General features: G+C 45.1%; 1 protein-coding gene and 1 long non-coding RNA gene across 3 annotated transcripts in view, besides 1 other annotated feature; both read left to right on the top strand.

The window, feature by feature from the left end:
* The window catches only part of PEBP4 (phosphatidylethanolamine binding protein 4), a 227827-nt gene that overhangs the window by 33411 nt on the left and 178264 nt on the right, over positions 1-16152 (top strand). The window lies entirely within an intron of this gene.
* Positions 4687-4874: a silencer, noted in NCBI's record as "fragment chr8:22760306-22760493 (GRCh37/hg19 assembly coordinates)". NCBI's record gives its function as "represses an EF-1alpha promoter that drives an FKBP-Casp9 reporter gene in an ReSE screen in K562 erythroleukemia cells {active_cell/tissue: K562}" and the evidence as "EXISTENCE:reporter gene assay evidence [ECO:0000049][PMID:32094911]".
* LOC124901907 (uncharacterized) lies at positions 9561-12616 on the top strand. The gene is made up of 2 exons (XR_007060854.1): positions 9561-9950; positions 10987-12616. It is a non-coding gene; the product is annotated as an uncharacterized LOC124901907 (long non-coding RNA).

The raw sequence follows: 16152 nt of genomic DNA, 5'->3' as shown, positions 1-16152 counted from the left end.
CAAAGTGCTGACAGTGGCTTCCCAGACCTGGTGTGAGCCAGCCCATCACCTCTTCACTTCTCTGACCTCAACTACTAACTTCTCATTGGCTCCCTTGCTTACCTCACTCCTTCCTTTCTCTCTCTCTCTCTTTTTCTCTCTTTTTTCTGTCTTTTGAGATGGAGCCTCATTCTTTCACCCAGGCTGGAGTGCAGTGGCACGATCTCGACTCACTGCAACTTCTGCCTCCCGGGTTCAAGTGATTCTCCTGTCTCAACCTCCCAAGCAGCTGGGACTACAGGTGTGCACCACCACACCTGGCTAATTTTTGTATTTTTAGTAAAGACAGGGTTTCACCATGTTGGCCATGCTGCTAATTTTTATATTTTTAGTAAAGACAGGGTTTCACCATGTTGGCCAGGCTGGTCTTGAACTCCTGGCCTCGGAGTGATCTGCTCGCCTTGGCCTGCCAAAGTGCTGGGATTACAGGCATGAGCTGTCGTGCCCAGCCTCCTTTCTGTTTCTTGACTGCATGGGGCATGCTTTATAGGGCCTTTGCACTAGGATGGTATCTGCCTGCATCCCTCCTCCCACTCATAGCTTCATAACTCATGTCTTCTTCTCCTTCAAATCTTTGCTTAAAGGTTACCTTCCAAGGAGGCCTTCCAGATCCCCTAGCTCTGACAGCCCAGAGACCTCTTATCCCTCCTAACTTCTTTCCTTCGTGTTCACCTTCTAACCTTCACCACTTTCCTTCACCACCTTCTAACTTACATATCATTTTTTCTTTTTTTTACGTTTTTTGCTTGTTCATTTTATCTATTCTCACCCCTACCACACAGCTAGAATGTAAGCTCCATGAGGGCAGGAATCTTTGTCTGGTTTATTCACTGGTGCATACCAAGCATTCGAACAGTCTCAGTCACATGGTAGGCACTTAGTAAATATTTGTTGAACACATGTTATTAGATGAAGATGACAAGAGATTATGTATGTCAACCTGTCAATGCCAAACTCCAGAAGAATTTGGTAGATGAGGATGATGGTGGTGATGGTGATGGACAGTCATCTCAGCCACCCATGTGACTAGTGCAGCCTTGCAACATGACAGTCGAGGCAAGGCAGTGGCCAGTGGATGTGGGACTCAAGACAGAGGGGTTTTTTGTTTGTTTGTTTTTTTAAAGATTTAAGGAGAGAGAAAGAGGAGAGGGAGATTTGAAGGAAATACTTTATCCCTGGTTGAAGAGGAATAAATTACAAGGCTGGACACATGGCTATGCAGATAGTAGATGCTCAGTAAACCTGTGGGGTGAATGCACAAATCCCTTGCAGAACTGACTTGGCAAACTGGCCAAGCAGCCTTAGTGAGAAGTTTGAAGGCTGGATTGAAATAGGGATGTGGGAAGGCACACTCTCCCAAGGCTGGACAGAGGAGGCAGCCTGCAGTGTCCTCTGCCTGGACAGTGTCTTAAGGTAACACCCTCTGTTCAGCATCACTCCCTCCCACCTGGTACTTCTGTGTCTAGGGTCCCTGGAGAGTGAGGGGTGGGGGTAGGCTGAAGTGAAGACCTGCATCTCTGGAGAGCCCCAGGTTCCTCCACCTCCATAGCATTTCTCCTTCATGAAAACCTGGTGTTTGGGGATATGCAATGTCAGCGGCTGCCTCAAACTCTTCATCTTGCAAATAGAGTGATGGGTAATTTCAGGTTTGGAATTGGATTCCTTGATTTCTAACGTGCTAAGAGTGAAGCAACTTGCCAGCTTTCCATACATCTGGCGCTCCCATCCTCCACCGCCCCCACCTCAGATGGGAAACAGGGCCACGTGAGGTGTACCTTTTTCAGTATGTTATCGTGGAACAGCTATTTCCTCCTCCTCGTTCATCTTTTCCATTCACCAGCAACATCCCAGGGCCCCGTGGAGAGGAACCTGCCAGGCTGAGACCTGTGAGGTGGGAGCAGCAGGCAGGTCAGGTCCTGCGTCTCCTTGGCCACCGCCTCTGACCTGTCCAGGCAGGCTCCTGCCTCCGGACCCCTAGAGAAGTAAAGGTCAGTCCTTGCCTCTACCTGAAGCCCGTGTGGCTTAGAACAGCGGACAGAAAACCAAACTCACACAGCCACAAAATAACTAGAACAACAACATTCAAGTAAATACATAGCTGATCTCAGGAGAGAAAAGGTCTGCCTAGGTATAAGGTCAAAGGACAAAGGGATAAAAAGAAAGAGGGATGTGAATTACAACAACATTTGAAACTCTGCACTTTAATTGCCATAAATAAAATAAAAGCCCCACGACAAACCGAGAGAACATATGTGCCACAAATATGCAAAGCATTATTATCTTTATGCATAAAGGGCTCTTATAAATCAGCAAGAAAAAGATGAATAGCCTATTTTTTTTTTTAAAAAAAAAGGATGTTAATGGGTGATTATAGAAAGAAGAAAGTTCATTAAAAATATGGGGGAAGTTCCATTCCATTTACAATATAAAAAATGTGATTTTAGAAAATAGTATATAACTTTATTTAAAAATCAACTAAATGACAGTTTGTGTTCTTTTCTTAAAAGAGTATACACCGCAGGCAAAAGTACAAATTGCTTCAACTTTTCTAGATGAATCTGATGATTCAATAATGCCTATCAAAGTCATTAGCATGTCCATTGTGTTTGAGCAGTAATTTTAGCTCTAGGAATTTATTCTAATCTGATTACTTAATCAGAGAAACACATAAAAATTTATGTAAAAGGATGTTCATTGTAGTATTATTTAAAATAGCGGGAAAGAAAAGAAAATCGTCTTAAATGTTCAACAATAGATTGGTTAAATAAAATGTGCTCTATCCATATGAAAAAGTACCATATAGCCATTAAAAAGCATGGTCTTGAAGAATATTTAAGGCTGTTGGAAGATCTCACAATATATTTTTAAGCGAAGGAAGCCAAATGATAAAATAGCCATTTAACAATAGTTCCAGTTTTCAAAAATTTATATCTTTTATGCATGCAAAAATAAAAAACTAGGCGAACGGAGAATATATCAAAATGTTAACATTGGATCTCCTTGAGTGTTGAGACTAAGGGTGATTTTTATTTTCTCCTTTACACTTGTCTGTAATTTCCATATGTTCTCCAATGAATGTGTATTACTTTAATAAGAAGGAAAAAATGCTATGGGGGACGGGGGGTGAACGCTAAGAGGAAAAGGCTTCAGCTACCCAAATGGTCTGAGTGCTGGTTGCTGTGGAAACTGTAACTTTGAATTGCCCAACTTTTTGTGAATTACTTTCCTGCCCTGCAGGGTTAATGCTGGTGCTGGATTCAGCATCATCCAGGCGTGGGCACAGGTCTAGGGGTGGTAAAAACTGAGGGACTCTGCCTCCAGCCAAGGTCCACGAAGAAGCTCCCTCAGCCTTATCCTGGCTCCTTCTCCTCTTCCAGGTACGGAGAGCCCTGGGGTCCCTCAGCAGGTACTGAGGCACAAGCTGCCTCGTGTGCAGATCAGCCAGGGAGCCGGGAAGCAGCCTGCTGCTTCTCTAAGCAAGGTTCCCCCAGCCTCCGTGGAGTATTTGATGTTTCTCATTAATCAGCCTTGCCCCACTCTCAGCCTGGCATCTAAAAATAGGGTCTCAGTCACAGTGGCAGGAGGCAGGGCAAGCAGCTTTAGTTTTCTTTTTGTGATGATGAACAAAGACAGGAACTCAACTGAGTCCAGGGGCAGGTCACTGAAGTTGGGCATCTAAGCAAAAGTCCCACTCCCAGCTGGAGCCTTGACCATTGGCTCTGTCTTGCCTGCCTGCTCTTTGCCATGGGAGAGCAATATCTGCCTTGAAGGAGGTCAAAGAGGATGCCCTGGAAGCGGAGAGGCTGGGTACCAGGTAACCCTGGCCCAGTTGCAAGGGCACTTTCCTATGCCTATTCTGGGAGGATGGATATCTTGCTGCCATTTGCGAATGCTTCTCGGAGCTCTAGGGTGTAGAGAACGGGTTGATTTATAGATCGAGGCAGCTACAAGTTGGAATTTTAAAAAGCAATGTGTCCTTTGAGCAGGAGCCCGGGCTGGGGGCTTTGCAGGCTGTTGCTTTGTCCCAGGGACCAGATGGAACTTGTTTTTCTGCACACTTGGGGGTTTAACCCTTCACGCACTCCCTCCCCTGCAGCCCCATTCAGGAACTGCTGCCTCTGGGGGTGAGGAGAGAGACTCCACACATTTGAACCTCAGTTGTGTTTCTTAGAAATGCCTCGTCTTTCAATCCCCTGCCTTTGCCCAATTATTTTGTTTTATTTGGCACACACTGACATGTGCCAGACACTGTTCTAAGTGCTTTAGAAATATTAGCTCATTTACTCTTCACAACCATCATTATCCCCGTTTTATAGATGAGAAAACTGAGGTACACATAGGTTAAGCAACTTGTCCAAGGTCACACAGTTCATGAGTGATGAAGCCAGGATTTCAACGCCAGCTGTCTGTTTCCCAACTTTACTCACAATATCATGGCTGGCTCTCAAATAACAGGTAAATGAGTCCTGCTCTCAACATTTCGCGGTTTCCGGGGTGATTCTTCTTGCTTAAGCTATGGGAGTAGAAGGCTATCAGAGCGAGATGGAATCCAAGTTTCAGGTTGTACCTGAAATACCACTGCCATCTTTTCAGGCCCGTCAGGCTATTACAAGGCCCTCCTATTTATGAGGTCCCTACGGTGTAATGAGAAAGGTCCAAGGTTCAACGCTCACCTCCACCCCACTCCCCAACCCCTACAGCGTGTGGGAACGCAAGGCTATGCTGCAGGATCTGGGATCCCTGAGTTTGGAGCTTCTGTTCTCCTGGAAAAGTTCCAGGTATGTCCAATGCATTCTCCCTCCAGTAGGGGTCCTGGGACCTGCCTTTTGACAAACTCCCTTGATCTTTTTTGTAGCAGAACCCTCAGGGCTGTTTGATCCTCTGTGACATGTTGGAAACTTAACTCCTCCTGGGCAGAAGCTGTTTCTGACCCTGGGGAAGTTTGCAGAGACAGGAGCTGGACAGAGACCAGAGCTGAGATCTCAGCATTCATCGGGTCCAGGGCTGATGACAGAGCTGAGGCTAGAGTCCAGGTGTCCAGGCCACCCAGGCTGTGCAGGAGGGAGAGGTTGCCTGGGGAGAGGCTAACCAGGCATCAGATCCTACATGAAGCAACATGGGGCTTGTCATATCCTCACCAAGGTCTCATGGACACATTCAGAGCACCCTATCTGCCTCATGCCATAAAGCTACCAGGTGATCCAGGGAACTTGGTGTGGTCCATTACGGACATGACATGGGGGTTGGAGTTAGGACGTAGGATTTTAAAATTTATGTAGGTTTTGTTTTTGTTTTTTTGAGACGGAGTTTCACTCTTGTCATCCAGGCTGGAGTGCGATGGGGTGAACTCGGCTCACCGCAACCTCCGCCTCCTAGGTTCAAGCAATTATCCTGCCTCAGCCTCCTAAGTAGCTGGGATTACAGGCGTGCACCACCAAGCCCGGCTAATTTTTGTATTTTTAGTAATTTTTGTATTTTTAGGGGTTTGTCCATGTTGGTAAGGCTGGTCTCAAACTCCTAACCTCAGGTGATCCACCCGCCTCAGCCTCCCAAAGTGCTGGGATTACAGGCATGAGCCACTGCGCCCGGCTAAAATTTACGTAGGTTTTTAAAATTAAAAATGGCAATGCAGTAAAGCCGCACTTGGGGATGAGCTGTTCTTTCTAAGCTCATCTTCTGGATAGCTGACTGGCTCATTCATGTACTCAAACTTCTTATTTGAATCATTTGTAATGGCAGTCTTTCTAAAACATGACACATGGCCATGTCTTCTTAAACAGAGTCTAATGAACATGATTTAACCTTTGTTAAATGATGCAGTGTCATCATTGTAAACATCTGTCACAGAACGGTGCCCTCGCTAAGTACAAGTATTTCTTTTCAACAGTGGCCAGAGTTACTGACTTGTATTCTCACCAGGGTTCTGTCAGCGTGCTCCTACACAGCCTGCAAATCCCCCAGCCCGGGATCCTTTGAGTAGGTTTGGCCTTGCCCTGGAGAGGAGGTTTTCCTAGTTCTCAATCACCTATGACAGGGAATTAGGACTCTGGAGGTTGCCTTAGTCGAGCTGCACAGTGTGGAGAGTCGGTGGGCAGTATTAAAGATGACTTTAGGTGGACCAGGAGGGGCTGCGTCCCTCCCCAGAGGTTAGAAGCTGAAGATCAACACAACACACTCCCTGCAGGACCGATCCTAGGTAGTTCCAAGAGGGCAGAGAGAGTCATCCTCACAACTGAATCCCCGAGGCCTAGGACTCTGCTGACACAAGACAGAGTCCCGATCCATCTTCACTCATCACGTCTATAATAAGCCAATGGTGATTTTGCACCAGATCATCTATTTCGTGTCACTGTCTTCGCTTGCTTCCCTCTTGCTGCCTACAAGTCTTCAGTGAATACGTGTTGCCTCTCTTGTTTCACCAGCTGCCCCACCCAATGTGAAAATTCTTTCTCTGGAGCCAGGCCTGTCCGTGGAATATAGGTTTTATTTTACGTTCATAAGAAGGCAGAAATTTTCTTAGTTCATGCACAGTGATATCTATGGGGACCAAGCAAATGTGTAGGGCTATTGCTTCTACACAAAACCACCCCAAACTGCTAAAATTATTTTTAAACATTTTATCATCCTCCTGTCATCTGTCACTTCTTGCTGCTGTCAAGGCTGATTAGTGTCCTTATGGTCCTTCTGATGTGTGGCGGTGTGGGAAACCTGAGAGCTGACTATGTCAGAATTATGTCTAAACTAAGAGTAAATAGGCTTAGAATGAGGATGTGAGTGAAGTGCCTAGTTTTAGCCTGTGAGCCCTGTGACGCATATAAAATGCCTTCTGGTGTATTTTTCACAGGTGGGGCCAGGAAATCAGCATAGGATAGACAGATCTGAGTTCTGTATCCAACTAGCTTAAGTTTCTCAACCTCCTAGGCTAGTTCTCTCATCTGTAAAAGGAAATAAGATATCTTTTTTTTTTTTTTGGAGACAGAGTCTCACTCCATTCTCCATTACCCAGGCTGGAGTACCGTGGCATGATCTTGGCTCACTGCAACCTCTGCCTCCTGGGCTCAAGTGATTCTGATGCCTCAGCCTCCCAAGTAGCTGGGATTACAGGCGCCTGCAACCACGCCTGCCTAATTTTTGTATTTTTAGTAGAGACAGGGTTTCACCATGTTGGCCAGGCTGGTCTCGAACCCCTGGCCTCAAGTGATCCGCCCACCTCAGCCTCCCAAAGTGCTGGGATTACAGGCGTGAGCCACTGCGCTCGGGTCAAGATAATAATCTTTGTAATGGGCACCAAGGGCATCAAAGGAGAAAATGTACTTCAAGGAACCAATTAGAGTATTTGGAGCTCTTTCCGTAGTAGGTGCTCACTAAAGTCGTCTCACACCCCTCCCCAACCCTTCCCCATTCTTAACTGTGCTGTGGGATTCGTGACCTCCCGATAAGTCATTCTTACTGTGCCTTACATTTAGAGAGCCTGTCACATGTTTCCAGCCACTTAGCCTTGTCTCATGGTAGTCCTGTGGGCTTGGTGCTGTAGGTCTCCTGCTCCTCAGTTTGCAGACAAGAAAGTTGAAGCATAGATAAGGCTCTTGCCAGAGGTCATGCAGGCAGGTGGTGATAGAGCCCAAACCGCAAGCCAGGTCTCCTTCTTGTTTTTCTGGAGCTTTCTTTGTGCTATGCTCCTCCCGTTGTCACTCACCTTGACTGCGGGTGAGAAGGGTTAACCTCTCCACGTTCTTGATCTCCTCATGCATAACATGGGCAAATAAAACATTCCTGGTCATCCCTTCTGTCCCAGGGTTCTTAGGTGGCTCAAGTGACATAATGCCCACAAAAGCTCTTTGAAAAATGAAAAGCAGTGCATGCACGAATTCTGCGATTTCTCTGCAATATTTTAATTTCCTTTCTAGCATTGAGCAGATGAGATGCCTGGCACCCTCCTCTCTCTCCTCCTCACCCTGGCTAGGGAAAAAGTAGCCAGGAGTCATAGCCACTTTGCCGAGATGAGAGGCACCACTGCCAGGTGCTGCTCAGCAGACGCCATGGTAACGGGGTGAGTCGCAGGTTCCAGAAGCCCAGGATCAGGCTTAATAAGCAGGGTGCACCTAAAGAACCTCCCAGAACAGCATGCTAACCAACACACTTCTTTTGCCCCCTGCAAAAGCAGGTTCCTTTTCATGTGTGGCTTTTCCGAATTAATGATTTTGGAGGCTCAGCTCCCTCATGGAAGCCCTTTGGGACCCTCAGATAGGGACATGAGAGCCATTCTCTCTGCCTTTCCATGGGCCAAGGCTCCACAGACAGGAGCTGGCACTTGCCTGCAGAACCTTGGGTTGGGGAAGAGGCAATGATGGCCAAATGCCCCCGGCAGCCCTTGGCTCCCTGAGTCTGTGTGCAGCCTGCATAGGGCAGATTTTCTACCTCCAGAGAGCTGGGCTGGCAGGGCTATATTCTTTATGTATCATCATCATTTAATCTTCCCAACAATGCTTTGAGGTAGGAACTGCTACTTCCCCCATTTTCCAGATGAAGAAGCAGGTGTGTAGCTTGTCCAGGGTCCTAGATCGCCAGCTTCAGAGGCTGTGAATGAACCACCGTGCTGTACCGCCTGTCTGGGACAATGGACTTTAGTTAGCCAAGCCACACCTCCTTGGAACTATCCACAGCAGGGACTAGCAAAGGGATACTGGGACTCAGTTTCTTTGCCAGGCCTAGTTTACAGGGTGGGGCCCGTCCCTCTCTGCCTTCCTGAACTTCTCCCTCCTGGGCAGTAAGGGGGCCTCCTCAGGACCCAGCCCCTCCAAATTCACCCCTTTATCATCCCGCAACCTGCCCTGCCCCTCAGCCTGGATTTCAACCACACATTTTCTGTTACAAGGAGTATCTCCTCTATGCCAGGTCATCGAGAAGGACTTACTAACTCCAGAGGATAAAGAAAGGGACAAAGAGGAGCTAACAGCCAAGGGGCCACCTCTAGCTTTCACTTGGGTGTGCAGGGCGTGAGGGGAACATTCCCTCGGGCATGAATGTCTATGGTTATCTTTCTAAACTTACCGCAAACCAGAGCTTGGAGCACTTTGATTGAGAACCTGAGTATTAGATTGAGCCACTGATGGCTGGCTGGGAGGATTGAGTGACCATTTTCTGTGATGGTGTCTTAGCTTGGGGTTCCATAACAAAATACCATAGACTGGGTGGGTTTTTTTTTTTTTTTTTTTTTTTTTTTTTTTTTTTTTTTTGGGGTGGAGTCTTCCTCTGTCGCTCAGGCTGGAGTGCAGCGGTGTGATCTCGGCTCACTGCAACCTCTGCCTTCCAGGTCCAAGCAACTCTCCCACCTCAGCCTTGCAAGTAGCTGGGATCACAGGCACCCACCACCACACCTGGCTAATTTTTGTATTTTTGGTTGAGACAGGGTTTCACCATATTGGCCAAGCCGGTCTCAAACTCCTGGCCTCAGGTGATCCACCCGCCTCGGCTTCCCAAAGTGCTGGGATTACAGGCGTGAGCCACTGCGCCTGGCTGGCTGGGTGGCATTAACAACAGACATTTATTTTCTCACTGTTCTGGAAGCTGGAATTATGAGATCAAGGTGCCAGAAGATTCAGTTTTTGATGAGGGCTCCCTCCTTGGCTTGAAAACGGCTACCTTCTCACTGTGTCCCGACGTGGTGGAGGTTGAGAGTGAGGTCTCTGGGGTCTTTTCTTATAGGGGTACTGATCCCCTCATAAAGGCCCCACCCTTATGACCTAATCACCTCCAAAGGCCCCACCTCCAAATACCATCACACTGGGGGTTAGGGCTTCAACATAGGAATTTTGGGAGACATGGTTCATTTCATAGCATATGGGAAAGGCTGAGGGAAGAGCAGGTTTAGGAGATGAGTACAAGAGCTCAGGGCCTCTGATCTGGACATGGTGAGTGTGAATCCAGGGAGAGATGTTAAGCATTTTTTTAATGAGTTTGATGTTTAAAGGAAACATCTGGACTGGAGATAGAAATGGTTTTGAAACTCACCTCTCCAAGCCAGTTTACTCAACTATAAAATGGAACTAATAATACCCATCTCATAGGTTTGTTGTAAGGTTTGAATAAGAAAAGCAAAATACTCGGTGGTATTTTTACACATACTAAAACCAGAGAGCTAGGTCTTAAGAGTCAAATGGCAGAGATAAGCCTGAGTAAGACGATGAAAGGGTTTGTTTTTGGTGCCTCAGTACTCCACATAGTGTGTCCTTTCCCACAGCTCTCTTCTCCTTCGACAAGCAGTATCTTCATTCTCCTCTACCTCCCCTCCTCCATCCATATCTGTGCTTCTGAACGCATCACATCCCGTTGCAGTGTGGTGACTGATAGCAGCTTACAATGTGATCTGTCCCCAGGGACTTTGCATGATAGGAGTCTGAACAGTCTTAAATTTAAAGAAGATGGAAGAGGAGGAGAAGAAAAGGGGCTGTATTTTCTCAATTAGCAGAAAAAACAGATTTTACTCAATTTTGAATGTTTCTCCTATGCCTCAAAAAAATCTTTCCCACCTCTCAATGTCTACGCTAAGCCGTAGTATATTTGGATTATATATATATACATACACACACACACACACACATACACACAGATATATGTGTATATATATAACACGCAAATATATATAGATAGGTATAGATATATTATCCATTTTAGATTTAGCTATATATAATATCTAAATATGTTATATATAAAAATATCCAAATATACCATATATATTATATATATTAGAGATGAAGAGAGAGAGAAACTATCAAGTACATCAGTATACATAGAGAACTAGTGAGTTAAAGGGAAGAGACACTAACTGTGGATTTTAAGGCGTCATATAACAGGTCATGACATAGTTGAGGCACCTGACACCTTCAAAATTCTGCCTTATCATAAGTTGTCACCTTGCAACCTCTGTGTAATGCTGTTTCTACCAAGGGCTGAACGAGGCATGGGAGAGTCTGTGTCACTGCTGAGCCTTAGCTTGAACAGTAATAAAGAGGCCAAGGACTGCTGGGGTAAATGAGAAATGAAATAGGTAACGTGGTTCTCCAGATACCCAGAGCCAGAAAATGCTGAATCAGAAACACAAAATGTCAGGAAAGTGAGAGTAGGAGTGCGCCTGAGTGAGCCTCAAGAAACCCCTAGCAGGTGAGGTGGAAGGAACCCCATCACTGGGATGAGGAGGGGAGATCAGGGAAGACTCCCCTTAGCCTGAGGATGGCTCTGAGCAAACACGTTGGAGCCTGGATAATACCCCACTGAACACTGCAACTATCGGTTAAAGGAGCCATTGGAGTAAGAATTGATAGGTCAGCGGGAGCAAAACTCAACCATTCCTGATTAATTAGTATTACCGTGGCCTATGTATTTCTCTAGTTCAGATCTTCATCAGATCACACTCCAGCTATGACAGTGATTGTCCAAGCTCCATTCCCTGTCTCTCCTCCCAGACTAGGACATCTTCTTCTTCTGGGTTCCCACATCATTCTAGGTTCCAGTGGCACTTTTCTTACTTGATGCAAGGATGTGGGATTTGGGAACATGGTTTCATCTCTCCAACCACAATACCAGCAACTTTCAGGCAACTGTCTGATGCCACACAGCAAATCTGCCCCAGGGCAGAGGGGGCAGTAGGTAGGCAGTAACTGGGAGCACAGGCAGAGAGGCTGGCATGAAGAAACCTGCCCATGGGAAGCAGGGCCAATGCCACCTAGGCTGGGTTCAAGGATGTGGCCAAAAAAGCAGAACTTCCGACAAACTTGGAAAACTAGTCAGGTTACTGAAACAGGAACTTAAGCTTCTCAGCAAATTAGACGTAACATATAAACTGGAAAAATCAGTGAACTTGAAGATAGAGCAACAGAAATGATCTAAAGAAATATAAAGAGAGAAAAGAAGGCTGGGGGACAGAACAGAGCACCCAAGCATTGTGAGACAACATAAAATGGTCTAACATATGTATAGTTGGGATCTCATTAAGAAAAGAGAGCAGAGTAGAACTATTTGAAGAGATAATGACCAAGAACTTGTTAAAGAAAGGCAACATACCACAAGTCCAAGATACTCAGAGAACCTTAATCAGAATTTTTAAAAAAATCCACCTAGATGTGTCATGATCAAACTGCTAAAAACCAAAGATAAATTCTGAAGACAACCAAGGAAAACAGAATGCCGGTGTCCCCCTCACCAAAGCATGTCTAAATGCTTGTGAAGAAAGTATGTTCTCCTGGGACAGAGTGAAGGAGGGTATGTGGGGAACACATGTGTAAGCCCACCCCAACATTATTATGCCTCTCCAGGTATTAAGATTCCTTGCTTTATATCAAGGAACTTCTGTCACCTTAGCTTTATTTAGTATAGGATGCCATTCAGTTCAGGTTTCATTTCAGATAACCCACTGAGTGAACAGAACCATACCCAGATGATCCAGCCAGTACTTTGGATCCAGAATCCATATTGATCAATATGGCCCAATTGAAAATGATCTTCTTTCCTCCGTGATCAGCACCTTACTATACATTTCTCAGATTTCTGCCAATAAATATTAAAAAACAAATGGCACCTACTTTGGTGTGAAAGTCTACTGTTTCAGAATCAGACTTTGTGCTTGTCTCCCTTGGCCATGCTGAAATCTGATTCTAGAATAGGTCAGGAGCAGCCAGGGGTGGTAAGTGTCGACCTCAGGGAGAATCAGGATTCTCTTGCAAGACAGGACCTGGGGAAAAGGGGCAGCTTCTGCTGGAAAGGGAGGCTCAGCAGGGTCTAAGACTCAGTTATATGAATTCAGCATCCCCATTCACAGGGTTCCATCTTTCCCAGTCAACACCATCTCCCATAAGAGACCTGATGAGGCTGTGAACTTAACTTAGGTTGTAATTCTACAACCTGCTGGGTCAGACTTCACTTCTGATTTCAGTTTTGTTGGCCCTGAAACTACAAACCGTGGGAGATTCTTTCAGGATAGTCTTAACTGTTCCTTGCTCTTCTGATTGAGCCTTGAGCCAAGAATTTATTACTATTTTATTTTATTTTTAGAGACAGGGTCTCACTCTGTTGCCCAAGCTGGAGTGCAGTGGCATGATTACGGTTCACTGCAGCCTTGACCTCCTGGAATCAAGCAATCTTCCCACCTCAGCCTCCTGAGTAGCTGGGACTACAGGCACATGCCACTATGCTTGGAATTTTTTTTATTTATTTTTTATTTTTTGTAGAGACAGGGTCTTACCATGTTGCCTGGGCTGGTCTCGAACTCCTGGGCTGAAGCCATCCATCTGCCTTGGCTTCCCAAAGTGCTGGGATTATAGAGTGAGCCACTATGCATGGCTGTGCCAAGAATTTAAACCTCAAGCTTCTAACCATTTTTCTTTACTTTTCCCACTTCTGGCAGAAGAAGTCATCTTATTCCAACATCTTTATATTCATCATTCTGACATAATAATCTATCGTGCAATTCCGCCAAACTCTTATCTTCAATGGGTACTTTGTTCTAGGTAATCACACTTGATAATCAAGATTATTTTGCTACTATATGCCGCGGGCTGCCAGTGACACATTTGCTAATGGTAACCTGTGCTCTCATCTTCACTGGTTTTAAGCAATTTGATTGTGATGTGTTTGGTGTAGTTTTCTCATGTGTCTTGTGCTTGGCATTTCTTTGGTTGGGCTTCTGGGATCTGTGGGTTTACAGTTTTCATCAAATTAAGACATTTTTCAGCCATTATGTCTTCTAATATTTTTTCTAATATTCCCTAAAAGGGAATTTTAGGGACTCCTATTGCATGTATATTTGGCTACTTGAAGATGTCCCACAGCTCACTGATATGCTATTCTGGTGGGTTTTTTTCAGTCTTTTTTCTCTCTGTGTTTTATTTTGAATAGTTTCTATTGCTGTGTCTTCAAGTTCACTAATATCTTATTCTGTATAGTTAACCTTCTGTTAAATCTCATCCAGTGTACTCTTCATCACAGACAATGAAATTGTTATCTCTTCAAATCTGAATTGGGTCTTTAAAAATATTTTCTATGTCTCTGGGAATATATAAGCCTTCCCCTACCTTCTTGAACACATGGAATATAGTTATAATAACTGTTTTAATATATTTGTGTACTAATTCCATTGTCTGTATCATTTCCCAGTCTATTTCAATTGATTGTTTTTTGTCCTTGTTATGGTTTCTATTTTCCTGCTTCTTTACATGTCTAGTAATTTTTTTAGGTGCCAGACTTGTGGATTTTTACTTCATTAGGTGTGAAATGTCATTATAATCTCATAAATATTCTTGAGCTATGATCTGGCATGTGGTTAGGCTCACTGAAAGCAGTCTGATCCTTCTCAAACTTGCTTTTAAACTTTGGTAAATAGGACAAGAGCAGCGTTTTTCTAGGGCTAATTTTGCCCCACTGCTGAATACTCTCCCTGCTGCCCCAGGAATTCTGTGGCATTTTTACTCTGCCTGGTGGGAATACAAATTTATTCTCAGCCTTGTGTGAGCCCTGTAGACTTTTCTGTCTGTTTCTTTCAGGGAATTATTTCTTTGGACTCAGTTTTCTCACATGCGCATGCTGATCTGTACTCATCTGAAGACTCAAAGAGGACCTTCTGCAATTTCCACAGTTCTCTCCCCGCACAGCTGCCTCTGCCTTGTGAATCATGACCACCTTAACCCCCTTGGACTTGAGCTCTATCTCCTCAACTCAAGGTGACTGTCAGGTTTCCTGGGTTCTCTCTTTCTGTACTGCTGCCTAGAAACTCTATCAGGCAGTAAGTTGGGGTGATTGTAAGACCTTCATTTGTTTCCCCTCTTTTGCTGATTACTGCCCCACACTGCCTGAAGTTCAAAATCTGGAAACCATTGTTTCATGTATTTTGTTCGGTGTTTTCATTGTTTCAGGTGGTAGGGTAAATCTGGTTCCTGATACTCTATCTTGGCTGGAACCAGAAGATCTTTACCTGTCTTCAAATCCAACCAGACAGATAACCAACCCCAAACATGAGGCTCTGTAGCCTACAACCTCTTCTACTTCCAAAACATGATGTCAGTCCGTGTTTACTTGCAGAAAATGGAAACCATACTCTAGCTTTTTTTAAGCAGAAAACTAGTTAATACAGAAAATTGTTAGATGGGCTGAGAAGTAGGCTGTAGCTTAGGCCTCCAGGAATTATTCCACCAGGAATGAAGCCACCAAACTGGCCTACCAGAGGTAAGTATGGAGTTTTTGTTTTGCAAGATGAAAAGCATTATGCAGATGGATGGTGGTGATGCTACACAGCAGTGTGAATGGACTTCACACTACTGAATTATACACTTAAAAACCATTAAGATGGTAGATTTTAAATTATGTATATTATGCCATGATTTTTAAAACAATCCATACGTGTCATTTAAAAATAATTTAGAAAAGATATTACTTAGAAAACTATTCAGATATTTTAGCATTAAATAGGCTGACTACTAAAGTTTTATTTCTCACAAGTTGACTCAATGAAGTGTGACTCTTAGTCCCTCTACTTTCTCCTTCCCTGGTTTCTTTTTTTTTTTTTCTGAGACGGAGTCTTGCTCTTTCGCCCAGGCCGGACTGCAGTGGCGCGATCTCGGCTCACTGCAAGTTCCGCCTCCCGGGTTGACGCCATTCTCCTGCCTGAGCCTCCTGAGTAGCTGGGACTACAGGCGCCTGTCACCATACCCGACTAATTTTTTGTATTTTTAATAGAGACGGGGTTTCACCGTGTCAGCCAAGATGGTCTCGATCTCCTGACCTCGTGATCCGTCCGCCTCGGCCTCCCGAAGTGCTGGGATTACAGGCATGAGCCACCATGCCCGGCCCTTCCCTGGCTTCTTAAGCTGAGAAGGAGGCTGTGGTCCATGGTGGGAGGATGATGAGGAAGGGTCAGAAGACCCTGTTATAATCCCAGCTCCATTCCTCCTCTGCTGTCTGAGGCGGGCCCACCTAAGTGGGCTTCACTAAGGGCTTTAGCTATCTCTCTGAGACTTCCCTATAAATAAATGGAACATTTGCCCACAGGACCCTGAATTTTGCATCAGGAGCTTCCCATTTTGTGCTAGAGACAGTACTATGCCTAACTGTATTGTCATCCCCACA

The sequence above is a fragment of the Homo sapiens genome, chromosome 8 (genome assembly GCF_000001405.40).
Source record: "Homo sapiens chromosome 8, GRCh38.p14 Primary Assembly".
NCBI lineage: Eukaryota > Metazoa > Chordata > Mammalia > Primates > Hominidae > Homo > Homo sapiens.
The sequence above is the reverse complement of the archived record's forward strand: the minus strand, read 5'-3'. Positions and strand labels throughout refer to the sequence as shown.